The sequence below is a fragment of the Homo sapiens genome, chromosome 9 (assembly GCF_000001405.40).
Source record: "Homo sapiens chromosome 9, GRCh38.p14 Primary Assembly".
Lineage (NCBI taxonomy): Eukaryota > Metazoa > Chordata > Mammalia > Primates > Hominidae > Homo > Homo sapiens.
In genome coordinates, this window is record NC_000009.12 from 83,686,272 (window position 1) to 83,705,344 (window position 19,073).

The following is a 19,073-nucleotide window of genomic DNA, read 5'->3' on the forward strand; positions in this document are numbered from 1 at the left end:
ATCCCAATGTTCCAGGAGGCTGAGGCAGGAGGACTGCCTGAGTCCAGGAGTTCGAGGCTGCAGTGAGCTATTATCACACCACTGCACTCCAGCCTGGGTGACAGAGTGATATCCCGCCTCTAAAAACAAAACAAAACAAAAAATCCCCAATTCAAAACAATACAGAGATGCATCCTTTTTATGTCAGTATCTTGATGTTAGTAAGAAATGATTATTACTTCATCTCTAACACAAAGGTCCTACTATAGGTGCACATATCCTATATTCGATCCTCTGCTAAGGCCTAACAATGCATTGCTTCCCAATATCCTTATTCTTTTTATGTTAATGAGACCAAATTTAGTTCGAGCCACAGTTAGCTCTTACCACGTCCAAAATAATCCATTCCTCAGACTTCTATCTTCAGTCCTGTTCCTTTCTTTCTAGTTGAATACAGTATACACAGCCAATCTCATATTCTTGGCCTAGCGGTGGAGTATCTCTAATGCAAATACCCCAAATATGAAATGCACCAACATCCAAAACTTTTGAGTATCCATGACACTCAAAGGAAATGCTCATTGGAGCATTTTCCAACTTTGGATTTTCAAATTAGGAATGCTGAACCATTAAGTATATAAGGCAAATATCCCAAAATCCAAAAAAACAAAAAAAGAAAAAAAAATCTGAAATCTGAGACACTTCTGGTCCCAAGTCTGTCTGTTTAAAAAAAAAAAAAGTTTTTGGATAAAGTATACTTAATCTGTATTATACTGACCATCCTTCCCACTTACTTTATTCAATATTTATTAACAAGCAGTACTGTGGAAAATCAAAGATAAAAGACACAACTCTCCCTGAAGGTGAGCAGTCCAATGAGAGTCAAGTAAAACCATGAAGTCCAAAGGAAGCATAAAGGGAAGTCAGGGAAAGCTTTCCCTAAGTGAAAACTAAAGAAAGACTACTAAAGAAAGTAGCCGATAAAACCTGAAGAAAGGCTTTCCAGGGACCAGACACATAAAACCAGACAAGAGAAAAGAGCATCATGCTATAAAGAAACACTTACTTATACTATTCTCAGATCTTTACCAAAATCACCAGTATGCTTAGGCTTTACCAGACTGTCCAAATAGGAAAGCTTCAGAGTGGGCCCAGGAATCTACATTAAAAGACTGGCTCAAGAAATCAGTCCAAATTCAGAAAAGAATCACATCTTCAAACCACTCTACCTCACTGTCCCACAGCAGTGGATCTCAACAGATAAGGAAATTGCTGCCAAGAAGGTGTTTTGGAAATATATAGGGGCATTCTTCTGGTTGTCACGATAAACGGAAAGACATTAAATGACAGAATGTCTGAGATTTAAAAAATCTTGTGGGGACAAGGAAGGGAAGGCATATATAAAAAACATGATAAGCTATATATCATTGTTGAAAATCAGAGATAGGTGCATGAAAGTTCCTAACACTCTACATTTGTGTATGAACAAAATTTTCCATAATCAATTTACAACAGCCAATATAAACAACTGATTTTTAAAAAATCTGTTTTACCTTTGTCAACTCCCATACACATTGCTAACATTTTGAAAAATAACCAAAAAAGCATAAAGATAACACAAAACTATACTTCAGTAAATATTTTGAAGCTTTTCCATCTGCATTCTTTCCTTTATTTGAAATCCTATGATATATAATCCTTTTATCTAAGATAAGCAATTTCCAAGTAACTAACAGAAAATCTTCACAGAACACCATTTGCATGATATTCTATATCTAGAAACAGGTCATAATTTAACTATACTCCCATTATTAGACATCTCATTTTTCCCTTTAGTACCTATCCGAAATAGTAATATAATGAATGGCAGAACACATGGTTTGTAAGAATTAAACGAGAATGTATATAAATGCAAACATCAGGTATATAGGCAGTAGTCAATAAATGGTAGCTACTACTATGCCAGTTCTCTTAATACTCAACAATTTTTCGAGGAAGAGAGTTTTTAATCCTATTTCAGACACAGAAAAAGAGGTTACAGATGTCTCCCTTCCCCTCACACTGATACAGCTAATAAACTGGTAGTTAGGATTCAAACTTAGATTTGACTTCAAAGACAAACCTATCCAGATTAACTATTTTTCATATGCAAAATGAGAGGGTAAAACTAGATTTGTGTTTCTTAACCTTAAACTCAGAAATGCTTTCCAAAATTTTTGATATCCCTCGTTATTCTGAAATAAGTGACTTAATTACTGAACATACAGTTATATAGCATTTTATTGTATTTTAGGATTTGAAGGTAAGATACTAGATTAAACACATGCATCGGGCGGGGTGCAGTGGCTCACACCTGTAATCCCAGCACTCTGGGAGGCCGAGGCGGGCAGATGACAGGTCAGGAGATAGAGAACATCTTGGCCAACATGGTGAAACCCCGTCTCTACTAAAAATACAAAACTTAGCTGGGCATTGTGGTGCATGTCTGTAATCCCAGCTACTCAGGAGGCTGAGGCAGGAGAATTGCTTGAACCTGGGAGGCAGAGGTTGCAGTGAGCCGAGATTGCACCATTGCACTCCAGCCTGGGCGATGAGAGCGAAACTCCGTTTCAAAAAAAAAAAAAGACATGCATCTATTCTTACATCCTTTCAAATACCTACCAAAAAATAGTATTTTTTAAGCTTTATGGAGACATAACTCATACCACGTAATTCACTCATTTAAAGTATACGATTCAATGGTTTCTGGAGTATTCACAGACATGTGTTACAATCCATTTCAGAACATTTTCATTACCTCAAAAAAATCTATACCCTACAGCTATCACCCACCTATGGCTCATCACTTCCAACCATAAGAAACCAGTAATTTCTACTTTCTGTTTCCATACGAGTATTTCATATAAATGCAATATTATAACATATGGTCTTTGTGACTAGCTTCTTATACTTGGCATGTTTACAAGATTCACCCATGTCACAGCATGTGTCAATACTTCATCCCTTTCTATGGCCAAATAGTATGCCATTGTATGAATATACCACCTATTTTGCTTATCCACTCATCAGGTGATGAGCATTTGGGTTGTTTCTGCCTTTTGGCTATTATAAACAATGTGATACATTTATCTCAGAGAAACTGACAGACTAAATGGGCAAAAATGAATTAGTAAAAATAGAAAAGCTATGAACAATTAACATATGACCTAATTGAGCATACACAGATCACCAAACCCAACAACTACAGAATAAGCATTCTTTTTAAGTGCCTTTACTAAATTAGACTACATATGCTGGGCCATAAAGAAAGTCAACATATTTCAAAAAATTAAAATCTGACCAAGTTGTACTCTGTGACCACATGCAATTAAACTACCAAAAAGATAACAAGAAATCAAGTGTTGATCAATTGGAAAAGATGACCTAAGTGGGATACAAAAAGACCTAACCATTGTTTTAAAGGGGCACCATATACTGGACTATCATTAGCAGAGTAAAAAGATAAGCCCTTAAAGAGACAATTTGCAACACAACCAGCACAGCTCAAATCCAGATTTCATAATGTCTACAAATCACCAAGAAACACAACCCAATTGAAAAATGGCCAAGAAATTGAAACAGGAATTTCACAAAAATGAAATCCTTTTCATTTAAATGGCAAACAACACAGGTAACTTTAAATTAAAACCAGTAACAAATGCACTGAATGGTTCAGTTTAAGACTGTTAAAGAGCGTTACAGAGGATGCAGAGCAACTGGAAACCACACACACTGTGGGTACAAGTATAAATCAGTACATTTTGGAATAACATTTTGCAACAGAAGTTGAACATATGCTTACCCTATGACCCAACAATTCCACTATTTAACAAACTACATGTCCACAAAAAATACAATCAACATTTGAACCAATATTACTTGTATTGGCCAAAAACTGCAAACAATCCAAATGTCCCTCAACTGTAAAATAAACTATAGTATAGTCATTTGATAGATTACCCCCAATGACAACAAATGAACTACTGCCACATATCATCACGGATACCTCAACACGAGCGAAAAAGCCAGTCACAAATGAATATAAATTGTATGATTTCATTTATGTGAGTTTTTTCGTTTTTTTAAGGGTTGGGGACAAAATCCATGGTGCCCAAAGTGAGAATAGTGGTTACCTTAAGTTTGCAAGTGACTTCTTGGGAGTTGGTATCATGTTCTACTTTCTCGACCTTTAGGCTAAAACACGAACCTGTACATTTATGACACATGTATTCCTCTATACTGTACTTTAATAAAAATAGTTTTAAAAGTTGGCTGTGAACTTTTAAGCTGCAGCAGGGGCTGGGCGTGGTGGTTCATGACTGTAACCTCAGCACTTTGGGAGGCCAACATGGGAGGACTGCTTAAGCCCAGGAGTTGGAGGCTGCAGTGAGCTACGATCGTGCCACTGCACTCCAGCTTGGTCAACAGCTTGGTCAATGGAACCAGACTCTGTCTCAAAAAAAAAAACAAGAACAGAAACATCAAGAAGTCGAAACACAGCCAGCTCTCCTTAGTATTTCAATTTCAAATTATTCCCTTCCCCAAAGCTAAAATATGCCTCAATGGGAGCGGGCGCAGTGGCTCACGCTTGTAATCCCAACACTTTGGGAGGCCAAGGCGGGTGGATCACCTGAGGTCAGGAATTCGAGACTAGCCTAGCCAACATGGCAAAACCCCGTCTCTGCTAAAAATACAAAAATTAGCCAGGCATCGTGGCACACACCTGCAATCCCAGCTACTCGGGAGGCTAAGGCACGAGAATCACTTGAACCCAGGAGGCAGAGATTGCAGTGAGCCAAAATCGCGCCACTGCACTCCAGCCTGGGTGACAGAGAGGCACTCGTCTCAAAAAAATAAAAAAAATAAAAAACAAACACAATATATACATATATATATACACATATAATACATATATATATATATGCCTCATCTTGGGCAGGTCAACTGAAAGGAAATGGAATGAAGAGAACTTAGTTTTAGGTAGCAGACCAGACTGGATATAAGACATGAAAATGACAACAGAGATAATCACCAAAGGCTAAAAGATGATCCATTAACATCGTATGTGGCAGAGACAATTAAAACCTGATATCCAAAACAGCTGTAATCTCAAAATCTAATAGAACAGCAATGAATATAGCTCACTTGAACCTCTGGTAACATTTAAAGACAGGAGTCTCCTAACCATGAGTTGTCAGTATCAGTACCTGAAGGATAATCAGGGCTTTCTGGACAGACTAAGGGCTTCTCTACAATGTCCTAGATGCAGTAGAGTAGGACACTACACCACACATTCGAAAATTACCTCCATTAATCATTATTACACAGCTATGCTGTACCTGGCACCACACACACATTTTCACATTCACTCCTTACAACAAAACCTCAAGAAACCAAACCAAAGTCCTGACAGACACGTGAGAAATCACGTTCACTCACAAAATTACAGAGCTGTTGACAATTAATGTCATAGATACTGGGATCCTCCAACCTCATGGAACTCTTGGTTCTGGAGGGGTATCTTAGTCTTGAAGTATGAATTTATGGCACTTCATGCTAAAAGTTGGAAAACATGTTAAAAATGGTGATAGCATACAGTACAGTTCTAGGGAACTACAGACAACTGCATATGACTACCATTCATAATTCAGTTCTTATTTTAAATTTCAAACCACCAATGTCACCTAATTTAGATACTAGAACCACTTCCAAGTAGAAGGCTACTGTTAAATTGATTTGTTCTGAGTAAAAAATATACAAAACTTGGAACAAGCAAGCAAAAACCAAGAAATAAGCAACTTTGTAAGTTTAGCTGTCTGCCACTCTATTTGAAACAAAGGTAAAAGAATCTTAAGTTTAATTGTACCGTGCCAGATATGGTACACTTTTCCGAATAAACCATATTTTAGAAAATTAAATCAAGTTAAATAATGTAGTGTTTTTATCTAAATGGAATTTGTCCTACAGCTAAAAATTCTGCACGTACTTCAAATATCTTTTACTTCTATTCTGCTTCCTACAGAATAAAGAGAAAGTTTTCAGATTACACTGTCTTCAAAATTTCTAGAAATTTTATCACTAACATTTGAACGTAACTTCCTTGTCTGTTTAATCTACACTTTTATCATACAACAGCAGGAATCAGAAACTAAATAGTATTGATATGGAAAAACTTAATTAGCCATCTTAGAAAATCTCAAAGCTGTTTAGACAGAGGTAGCTCACTGACACTATTCCTCTGCAGAAAAATAAAACTTATTACAATTATACAAAATATTTTCGGCCAGGCGCAGTGGCTCACATCTGTAATCCCAGCACTTTGGGAGGCCGAGGCAGGCGGATCACCTGAGGTCGGCAGTTTGAGACCAGCCTGACCAACATGGAGAAACCCCGTCTCTACTAAAAATACAAAATTATCCAGGCATGGTGGCAAATGCCTGTAATCCCAGCTACTTGGGAGGCTGGGGCAGGAGAATCGCTTGAACCCGGGAGGTGGAGGTTGTGGTGAGCTGAGATCATGCCATTGCACTCCAGCCTGGGCAACAAGAGCGGAACTCCGTTTTAAAAATAATAATAACAACAATAATAAAAAAATATTTTCATCTAGGGAATAGCCAGAACCATAAAGGAAGAATTTTTGTAATTTCCATTAAAAAGATTACCTAGATTAACTTATTTTTATCCTTAAGCCTATGTGGTCACTATTAACTCAAAATGAAAGATACATGATAGAACGGGCCTCAAAGTATCCATATTTCCTACAAATGTACATCCAACTCTGGTCTTGCACTGATAACCTACAATAACTACAGGCCAGAGAACTGAAAGCTGAGAATTACTAAACTCTTTCTCAACAACCATAAGAATCAAAATTCTAATGCACCTTGAATAAGCAATGTAATGATTTCAAAATGAACCCAGCACAGACAAAACAACTTTCAGCAACCCCATTTTTTTCAACATCATCCAAAAGCCAGGTGTTGCACATGAGTGGATTCTCCAGCTAACTGAAGGTTACCTCTGTTTGAGCACCAAAATTGTTTTCCATTCTACTGAATGTAATTTTAACTTTTGATAATGCTGAGTTACTGGTGTGAATATCAACTGCTGTTCTGCAATATAGTGATAACTGTCCAGACTCTCAAGGTATCTTGTATCTGCCTTTTTCTTTTTCTTATTTTTTTTTTAACCAGACTGTCAAGTTCTTGTCTTGAAAGCATACCTTCTTTCTCCCCTAAATTTTCTATTTTTAATCTGAGGAAGAAGCAGCAAATAATTAAGAGAAGTTAGAAAACCGTATCAAATAAGAGTACGCAGAGAATGTGAAATGCTGCCCTGAAATGAAAATGTATCAAGATTTAGTGTATCAACTTTTATGGTGCCAATCTCAGCTGCTGAGGGCTGACTTTGCTTACTCCCTGTTCTCAATTGTTTTTGAGAAGAAAATAAGACACACATATGGAGGAAAGAGAGGAGAATCAAGGTTAGGAAAGAGTATTTTTGAAACATGTAGGCCTGAATTCAAATCTTGGTTTTGCTACATACTAGTTGTGTGACCTGGAGGATGTTACCTGTCTCTGAGCCTTGGTTTCTTCATCAGGAATAGAGATACTTATTCTGCAGGGCTGATGGGAGAATTAAGAGACATACGGAAATTTCCTGGGCACAATTCATTCACTAAGACATTCAAATATTGCTAATCTAATTATGCAAGGATAAACTCTCAACTGTAAACACTCTGAAAATGGAGTTAATCTGACTTTAAAAGCAACATTGTCACCCTTTACAAACATTTCAAAATCCAAACATCCAAACTTGCTTTTAAACAACCATTCTCCATCTCACCTATTAAACATCCGGGGAGTTGGGAATCAACCTATCCAAAAGTAAAATTTACTTCAGCTCTGAAGATAAAACACACACAATTTCATTTCCCGCAGAATCACATATTAACAGCATTTAGCAAGGATTCTCTAAATAGTTATCTGAATACTGTATTCAAATCTTTGCTATTTCAGTATTTTAAGGCAGAGATCCTTCAAGAGTCTATTTTTGAATTAGCTCCTTACTCAATATTGCTAATAGTATTTGAAAAAAGTCCATAAATCATCCATATACATGGTTCTGTCAGTTATCATTCTCCAAGAGTCTGATGTTTAACCTTATAGTAGTCTTATTTAAAACACTGCATAACCCTTTATACAAGGATGCCAAGTATGAGAAACTACTACACTGAATATGTAACACGTATGAGAAAGGGGCACTCTCTCATAAAACTGTACACAGCCACAAATGTTAGTGTATCGTTCAGAAAATTTATTTTTTAGATTCTCTCTAATTTAAATCTGACAAGAATAACAAACTAAATGTTTCACTATTCACATGCTAGGATAGATATACTTCCTTCTATTGCAAAAACTTAAAACTCAATTCACCGGTGAACAAAAGGCTGTGGGGAAAGAAACCAATATAAGTAAATCATATAAACTCTGAGTCAGGTACTTTATGCATACGATGTCACAAAATCCTCCAAACAATGTACTGAAGCAGGTATTACACGATATGTTAAAAATGTAGCCAGTGAGGCTGAGATGATTAAAGCTCCTTACCCATCATCAGATTTCTCCAATTCTAAGGTTCATGCTCTCCTTTCTCAAAATATTAATAAGCAAACCAAAACAATAAATCATAAAAATAATAAGTAATAGTCTAATGAGCTAGTTCTATATGGAAAGACTACCAAGGTAACACAAGTAGAACGAGTAAGATAAAGAAAATTGTGGGTGGTTGACCCCATTTGCTTAACAAAAGGTAAAAATTATATATGAACATATAAATACCTTTCTGGACAGAATCACCCAAAAAAAAAAAAAAGTTAACTTTACCTTTTATCCTGAATGGGCCCTCCCACCTTTTTTTTTTTTTTTGAGACTAAGTCTCACTCTGTCGCCCAGGCTGGAGTACAGTGGCGCCATCTTGGCTCACTGCAACCTCCACCTCCCGGGTTCAAGTGATTCTCCTGCCTCAGCCTCCCAGGTGGCTGGGACTACAGGTGCTCCCCACCACACTGGCTAATTTTTTTATTTTTTTAGTAGAGATGGGGTTTCACTATATTGGCCAGGCTGGTCTTGAACTCCTGACCTTGTGATCTGCCCACCTCAGCCTCCCGAAGTGCTGGACTTAAAGGCGTGAGGCGCCATGCCCAGTCCCCTTTTTTATACTTTTCAACATCATTTGAATTTCTTAATTTTAAAGCAAAAATATGTAAAAGGTATTTTTTAAATGTAAAAGTTATATCCTTTAAGAAAACTGGAGAGAGCTTTAAAGAGTTAAAAAAAAAAATTACCCCCAAGTTTTAGACATCTATATGGCAGCTGCTTAACCAGTAAACCAGGCAGACTGTTGCCATATCTACAGGACATCAAACTAACTCATAGTTGTATAAATTTACCTGGAAAAATCAGAGTTCAGGTCTAGCAACAATATTCTGCAAATACACACATATATTTTCATGCCTATAATAAATAGAATCTGTGAAGTATGCTAATCCAACAGTCTCTGCAAACAGCAGATTTAAGTATCAACTTCAGTCTCTAAAAAAAGCTCCTAATCTCAATTTAATGGTATTTGTATAGTTTCACTTCACTTTTCAAATTAATTTTTTTTTTTGAGTCGGAGTCTCACTCTGTTGCCAGGATAGAGTGCAGTCGCACGATCTCAGCTCACTGCAACCTCCACCTCCCGGATTCAAGCGATTCTCCTGCCTCAGCCTCTCCAGTAGCTGGGACTACAGGTGCACACCACCACGCCCAGCTAATTTTTGTATTCTTAGTAGAGACAGGGTTTCACCATGTTGGCCAGGACGGTCTCAAACTCTTGACCTCATAATCCGCCTGCCATCATGATTGTATACACTTATAAAGTACAACATGATGTCTTGATATATGTAAACAATGTGGAGTGACTAAATCAAGCTAATATATCTATCACCTCTCTTATCTTTTTTGTAGTTGCAGCTGCTGGTACAGGAAAGTAACTGTAATAATGCCATCAGACACTTAAGTTGACTAAGAATAAACACACTTTTTCAAAATCACATTGTTAAAATATTCCTAAGACCAGCCTGTCTGGGCAACATGGCAAAATCCTGTCTCTATAAAAACAAACAAAAAAATTTTAAAAAAAAACCCAATAAGAAAAATAGCTGGGCAAGGTGGTGCACGCCTGCAGTCCCAGTTTCTTCAGAAGCTGAAGTGGGAGAATCGCTTGAGCCCAGGAGATCAAGGTTGCAGTGAGCTGTGATCGCACTACTGCACTTCAGGTTGGGTGATAGAACAAGATTCTGTCTAAAAAAGGAAAAAAAAAAAAATCCCAACTAGGTACAAAATATTGCAGATAAATATTTAAAACACTATTTGGTCATTCAATAAATACTTGTCTACTCAGTGTGTGCCCAGGACACAATGCTAGGCAACATGGGATTAGAAAGTAAGCAAAACAGTCCCTGCCCCTGAAGTTCTTACAGTACTCGGGGGCAGGGGGGCTGGGTGAAGGAGACAATCCATATAATCACAAAATATTATCAGAGATTATAATCAATGATCTGACATAGACTGATGAGTCCAATTACCCTCTGATGAACTAATATTTAAATAAACTTCTTAAAAAAAGATACAGAGTATTGCTATGTTGCCCAGGCTGGCGTGGAACTCTTGGGCTCAAGTAATTCTCCCACCTCAGCCTCCCAATTAGCTGGGACTACAGGCTTGCACCACCACACCTAGCTATTCAATGAACTTTAAAGACTGAAAAGCCAGTCAAAGGAAAGTCAAGGCAGTTTGGGGCAGTGGATCGGTGAGGCCTCCCAAGTTTGTACTGGGTTTGAATCTACAGTCTACTACTTAATATGTGTATGAATTTGATCACATTATTAATATGAGTCTCAGTATCTTCTGGTTTTTTTTTTTTTTTTTAAGACATAGGCCAGGCGCGGTGGCTCACGCCTGTAATTCCAGCACTTTGGGAGGCAAAGGCAGGCGAATCATGAGGTCAGGAGTCCAAGACCAGTCTGGCCAACATAATGAAACCCCGTCTCTACTAAAAATACAAAAAATTAGCTGGGTGTGGTGGTGTGCACCTGTAATCCCAGCTACTCAGGAGGCTGAGGCAAGAGAATTGTGTGAACCCAGGGGGCGGAGGTTGCAGTGAGCTGAGATTGCACCACTGCACTCCAGCCGGGGCAACAGTGCAAGACACTGTCTCAAAAAAAAAAAAAAAAAAAAAAAAAAGACAGTTTCCCTCTGTCGCCCAGGCTGGACTGCAGTGGCAAGATCTCAGCTCACTGCAACCTCTGCCTCGCAGATTCAAGAGATTCTTCCACCTCAGCTTCCCAAGTAGCTGGGACTACAGGCATGCACCACCACACGCGGCTATTTTTTGTACCCTTTTTTTTTTTTTTTTTTTTGAGACGAAGTCTCACTCTTATCCCACAGGCTGGAGTGCGATGGCACGATTCAGCTCACTGCAACCTCCACCTCCCAGGTTCAAGCGATTCTCCCGCCTCAGCCTTCCGAGTAGCTGGGGATTACAGGCATGCACCACCACACCTGGCAAATCTTGTATCTTTAGTAGAGACGGGGTTTCTCCATGTTGGTCAGGCTGGTCTCAAACTCCTGACCTCATGTGATCCACCCGCCTCGGCCTCCCAGAGTGCCGGGATTAGCAGCATGAGCCACCATGCCTGGCCAGCATCTTCATTTTTTAAAAAAAGGATAATAATAGTGCTTTCATCATAAAGTTATGTGACATTTTAAAAAAATATAATGCATCATGCCTTATAAATCATGCCTGCAATAAATATTGGCCATTATGTCATTGTCATTAACAGCATTTGCAAAGGTTCAAAAAGGGGAAGAAAGAGCCAGTGATATTTGAGGGTAGGGGAAGAGACAATACAAACTGGCTGAAATGCAATGAAAACAGGAGAAAAGGCAGGTGGAAGCACATCCTGAAAGCTTTATTAGCTGTGCTAATTCAGCAGTCACTAGCTACATATGGCTATTAAGCACCTGAAATGTGGCTACTTCAAACTGAGGTATGCTTAAGTGTAAATTACAAAATATATTTCAAAGACTTAGTATTTCAAAATGCAAGATATTTTATAGTCTTTATATCAATTGCACCTTAAAATATTTTAGACATACTGGGTTAAATAAAGCATATTAAAATTACAATAGCCAAAAGGTGGAAGCAACCCAAGCGACCAGCAACAGATCAATGGATTTTTAAAATGTGGTACATACATATAATGGAATATTATTCAGTCATACACAGTAAATTCTGGCTGGGTGCGGTGGCTCACACTTGTATAATCCTAGCATTTTGGGAGACCAAGGGGGCAGATCGCTTGAGCTCAGGAGTTTGAGACCAACCTGGGCAACATGGTGAAACCCTGTCTCTACAAAAAAATACAAAGTAGCCAAGCATGGTGATGTGAGCTTGCAGTCCCAGCTACTTGGGGGGCTAAGGCAGGAGGATCACTTGAACTTCAGGAGGTGGAGGCTGCAGCAAGCCATGATTGTGCCACTGCACTCCAGCCTGGGTGACAAAGTGAGACCTGTCTCAAAAAAAAAAAAAAAAGTAAATTCTGACACATGCTACAACATAAATGAACCTTGTGGACGTTATACTAAGGGAAATAAGTTAATCACAAAAGGCCAAACACTGTCTTATTCCACTTATATGAAATACCTAGAGTAGTCAAATTCAGAGACAGAAAGAAGAATGGTGGTTGCTAGAGGTGGGGGAATGGGGAAAATGGGGAGTTACTGTTTAAACGGTCCAGGGTTTCAGTTTTGCAAGATGAGTTCTGGAAACGGATGGTGGTAACAATTGTACAACAATGTGAATGTACTTAATGTCACTGAAGTGAACCCTTAAAAATGGTTAACATGATAAATTTTGTTATGTGTGAGTCACCACTATTGAAAAATTGACTTCAGTCCTTCCTTTTGATTAAAGTGGCTAATAGGAAAATTACATATGTGGCTCATACTGTTTTTTGTTTTTAAGAGACCAAGTCTCATTCTGTCACCACAGCTGGAATGCTGCGGTGCAATCATAGCTCAGTGTAACCTCCAAACTCCTGGGCTCAACCTTGCTGGACTAGCTGGGACTACAGGTGTGTGCCACCACACCTAGCTAAATTTTTATTTTTTTGTAGACAGGCTGGTCTCGAACTCCAGGAGGTGGGGGCTGCAGTGAGCCATGATCACTGAGCCATGGTGCTCAAGCAATCCTGCCACCTTGGCCCCGCAAAGTGTTGGGATTACAAGCATGAACCACTGAGCCCAGCTCACATTGTATTTCTATAAAAAATAAGTCATGGTAAAAATTTCCAATGAGAAGTGTTTTGATGAACAAGATATATTAACAGGAAGCCCTAATACCAGGGTAAGCAAACTTTCTGTTACGGGCTAGACAGTAAATATTTTTGGCTCTACCAGCCACATGGTCTATTCTGAAAGGAGCTATAGATAACACATAAGCAAATGGGCACAATAGATTTCGACTACCAGTTTGCTGGCCTCTGCCCTAAGGCACCCATTATAAGCAATGGCTCTTAAATTTTCATAAATTTTGTGAGCCAGTTTAATAACGGTATCTTGAAATCTGCCACAGTGAGAATATTTACATCATGGAAATCCAGCAAACACTACAAATCAGTGTTTTTCCTGAAGAACGGGTTGATAAACCAGCATTTACCAACAAACCACTCACTATGTAATGAATTAACTTCTCTCCTATACATCTAAAATTATATTCATTATGAACCATCTTTGAAAAGAAATGGATAGCTATTCATATCACTTTCTGTGCTCTGTGGTTCAGATGAGAATCTCCAGCTAAGAAAGGTGGTTCTAGAAGAGTAATGTTCCAGGCAGAGAAGCAAGAGTGAACATCATGAAGCAGTCAAGAGTTGTGCCTGGAGAGTGGTGACCTGGGGGGAACAGCTTAAGAGGAAGCTTCCACAAAAGGACTGGGAGCTACCAGATTATGTACATACTACACTCAGTAAAGGTTCAACAATAAGTAGTTATTACTGAATATGTATTATTGTACATAATGGACTAGATTCATCTGTAAATAATTTATTGAGCCCTAGGCTCTGGTAACACAATGGTGAACAATCACAGCCCCTCTCTAAAGAGAAGGAATCACATAAATATACAATTTTTAGTTGTGATGAATTCTTATCAAAAACAGGCTACTGTGAGAAATCCAACAGGGGATCCCAATCCAGTCTGGACAATCAGAAATAGATACTACCTGGAGAAACTGACCTTTGCATTAAGATTTAAAGATGGAAAAGGAATGGGCAAAGAGTGTTCTTGCATTCTAGGTAGCAAGAACAAACTGTACAGAAGTCCTCAGGCAGGAAAAAAAGTATTAACAGGTCAGGGAACTAGAAGGTCAATGTAGTCAGCCAAGCAAGCAAAGAAAGAAGGCATCTGCAAAAAATGGAGAGGGCATGGAACCGTATTACACAGGGCCTCGCTACTCCATTATATATTCTAAGACCAACAGGGAGCCATTAGCTTTACACAGAGGGTGGCATGCTCTGATTAACGTTTTTCAGAGATCACTCTTGGAATGGCTGGTGGGAGAGTTATAGAAGTCAGGCAACTGACCAGTAGGCTACTGCAGTTTCTAGGCAAGAGGTAATGGCAACTTATTGGAGCCACTACCCGATATTTTAAGTACGTAATCTATAAAATACGCCACCACAGAAATTTTTGCTCTCAGGACACCATTTTACAACTTCAGAACTCCAAAGAGTTTTGCTTGTTTAGGTTATAGCTGTTGATATTTATAATATTACAAATTAAAACTGAATAACCTTTAAAAATAAATTCATTTAAAAATAATACATTATATATTAATAAAAATAACATCCTTATGAAAAATAACTATTTTCTCAGTGATAAGAGTGGCATTATTTTAAATTTTTGGAAATCACTTTAGTCTTGTAATAGAAGACAGCTGGATTTTCACATCTGTTGTCATATCCCACACCTTAAAGACTCTAGCCAAGTGCACTGCCCAGTTTTGAGAAAATTAGACTGAAAAATAAAAATAACATCTCAGAATTACTATGAAAATAGTTTCATCTCATGGTACCCTTAACAGGGTATGGGGACTCCCCAAACCACAGTGAGAACTACTGCTCAGATAACAAAAAGCAAATTTGTCTAGCAGGCTGTCCAGTTTTCCTCAGAGTGCCCCCAGCAAAAATAATAATGAAAATAAAAAGCAAAATAATCACAGTAAGATACCATTTCACAGCCAGTAAGATGGCTATAATCACAAAGACAGTAATAAGTATTACCGAGAATGTGGTTATCGGAATCCTCATGCATTGCTAGTGGAAATGTAAAATGGTACAGACACCTTAGAAAATAATTTGGCAGCTCCTCATAAAGCTCAACATAGAGCTTTGACCCAGCAATTTCCACTCCAAGATCTACACCCAAGAAAAATGAAAACGTTATGTCCCCACAAAAACTTATACATGAGTGTTCAGAGGCATTAGTCACAATAGCCAGAAAGTAGAAACAACCCAATGTCCACCACGTGATAGAAAAATAAAATGTGGAATGCTGTTGGCAACACAATGGAATGTTATTCGGCAATAAAAAGGAAGTAAGTACCGGCACATGCTTCAACAGGGATGAACCTTGAAAACACTATGCTAAGTGAAAGCCAATCACAAAAGACCACATGATTCCACTTACAACAAACGCCCAGAACAAGCAAATCTATAGACAAAAAATAGATCAGTAGTTGCCTAAGGCTGGGGGGCCCAGGGAGAAACGAAGGGCAACTGCTAAAGGGTACAGCGTTTCTTTTTGAGGGTTCTAAACGTTCTAAAATTGACTACACGACCCTGTGAATGTATTACATCAATTACAGACTTTAAAATGGTGAACTGTATGGTAGGCAAATTACACTTCAATTACGCTCTTTCTTAAAAAAAGCTAAGCAATCTCTGTTAATCAGAATCATTAAATAACGAGTTTTTCAGCTGTCCAGTATTAGAACAAAGCAAATAAGAAAACAATGATCTCACAGACATTTTTTTTCTCAGATATCTTGCTATACTGATTCAATCCAACCTTCTGGATAAGATGTTGTCCAGCAGAAATATATATAAGCCACAAGTAATTTAAAAATTTTAAGCAGCCATACTGAAAAAAAAGTTTTTAATAAAAGGTCAAATTAATTTTGATATTTTACTTAACTCACGATCTGCAAAATACTATTTCAATACATAATATATCAAAAGTATTAAGATATTTATTTTGTTCATACCAAATTTTCAAAATCTGGTATAAATTTTACACTTAACACATCTCACTTTTTAAGTACTTAACCACATGTGGGTGATGGTATCAAAGTGGACAGTATAGTTCTAGATCCACACTATACAGTATAACGTTAAATCATGTGTGTGATGATGACCCTAAGGCAAGTTGCCTTATCAAAGAAAGGCTCAATTTGACTCAATACGTTTAAATTATGTCTAAGTATATTAATATTTTCCCAGAAGTTTGCACTGACAGAAGGCACTTTCTAAAACCAGAGTATATACTGCCTGAACATTTCAAGTAAATGTACTTCAAAATTTTACACATAACCTAACAGTCTATGAAATCCCAGAATAAGCTAATTAGAAGTTACACAGAAACTCCCCTCCATTATCTGCACTAATGTCTCACATATATAACTCTCCATTCTTCTAGATGTTATCTTGCTCGTGGATACTTGGAAATCCTCAAAGCTCTTTTCAATAGCTGATGATGAACAATTAACCAAAAAAAAAAAATCTCATACACAGGGACTTTGTGCCACTACACATTTATGCTTTTGTATCTATTTACTTACATACAGGTTGAGCATCCCCAATCCAAAAATATGAAATCTGAAATGCTCCAAAATCTGAAATTTTTTAACACCATGACATCACATGTGGAAAAATCCCATATGTAACACCTTTGCTTTCTGATGGTTCAATGTATACAGTTTGTTTCACTCGCAAAATTATTTAAAATATTGTATAAAATTACCTTTAGGCTCTGTGCATAAAATGTACATGAAATATAACTGAATTTCATGTTTATATTTAGGTGCCATCCCCAAGATATCTCATTATGTATATACAAATATTCCAAAATCCAAAAAAAAAGAAAATCCAAAGTCCCAAACACTTCTGGTCCCAAGCATTTCCCATAAGGGATACTCAAAACCTGTATTACAAAAATCTCTATTAATGACAGCACCTTGGAATGTACACAGTGCAGTTTATATTCTCACTACCTATTCTAGCAACCTGTAAGTAAAAATTTATGTTACTCAGTTGATTCTGAGTGCTCCGTGAATAATAAATTTCACTCTAAATTGGAAAAAAGCTTAAGCTTTATTAGTAACCTTGAACAAGTAACATTATTAAATACCAAATGTATATAGCACTGTAAAAAATTAAGGCAACCTGTTTCTGCCTGTTGGTACTCACGACCAGAAACCAATGGAAAAATAGGAAAATAAATTACCACCTTACAATTTACCCAAGAAGTTTAACGTAATTTCATCTAATCACTTATTACAGCATGTTCATATAAACAGAATTTTGGTATAATGTGTTAAGGAATCTACATTACATAGAAATACTTATTGAAAGAAATTTTAACTTATAGAAAACGGAATTTGTCTGATACAGAGCATAAGCCTTCAATATTATCCTCTGGAGGTCTTCGGCTTACCCTCTGACCCTCCAAAATTAGGTACAAATTTTAAAGACTAAATATTTCCCAATTTCTAACTGGACACTTTCAGTGGAATTTTAATGTCATTAAGTATTTTTAATGACAAATTTTCATTTGTAACAAACAGTTTCAATCAAACCCTTTAAAATTTTTAAATTATAAAATGGCATATCTTTTGTGCTTCAAGTAGATTTTACAAATAGGTCATTTGAAAACTGCTTTTCTTTTTCTTCCACATTTTCCTGTATCTGTTTCCCTTGCATATACAAAGCCCAACTTGTCTACAGGTTCTCTGGTGTGGTGATAAGCGTCAATTTTTATCACATTTTCTGCTTCAACATAAAACAATGATCAAGAATTTAAAAATAAACTACCATCAGAAAAGGCTACTTCAGAAAGACTTTAATTTTATCTATTAACAATTCGTACTGGGCCGGGTGCCCGGTGGTTCACACCTGTAATCCTAGCACTTTGGGAAGCCGAGGCAGGCGGATCACAAGATCAGGAGTTCGAGACCAGCCTGGCCAACATGGTGAAACCCTGTCTCTACTACAAATAGGAAAATTAGCCGGGTGTGGTGTGGCATGCGCCTGTAGTCTCAGCTACTAGGGAAGCTGGGGTGGGAGAATCCTTGAACCCGGGAAGGGGAGGTTGCAGTGAGCCGACACCATGCCATTGCACTCCAGCCTGGGGGGTGACAGAGACTCCATCTCAAAAAAAAAAAAAAAAAAAAAATCTCACTTTGGTTACAGCAGAGTAAAATAAAAGCGTTCACAGAATTTATAATTTTAACATCACAAAAAGCAAAAACATCCTCACAGCTATAACATCATATATTGACTGAAAGGAATTTTTCTATTTATAAAATACTGATTATTTCTAATCTTTTGCAGTAAAATGCTGAAAGCACCCAGGATGGTGGAGGCATGAATTAGGAATCCTAGAAAAGAGATCCGAGAGCTTTAAAACTTAATATGGCTACACACCCGCTAAAATAGCTAAAATTACAGAGACTGACAATATCAAAATGTTAGCAGGGATATGGAGCAACAGGAACTCCCATGTATCTTCATTGGCGGGATGGTAAAATGATACAAGCATTTTTCAGTATATGTGCTGCTGAAGCCAGCACTCCTTTTTTTTTTTGAAACGGAGTTTCACTCTTGTTGCCCAGGCTGGACTGCAATGTCGCAATCTCGGCTCACTGTAACCTCCCTCTCCCAGGTTCAAGCG

At 37.7% G+C, this 19,073-nt stretch overlaps 1 protein-coding gene across 3 annotated transcripts in view; it reads right to left on the minus strand.

Moving 5' to 3' along the window:
* The window catches only part of UBQLN1 (ubiquilin 1), a 47,991-nt gene that overhangs the window by 26,304 nt on the left and 2,614 nt on the right, over positions 1 to 19,073 (minus strand). The gene's annotated exons all lie outside the window — the stretch shown is intronic.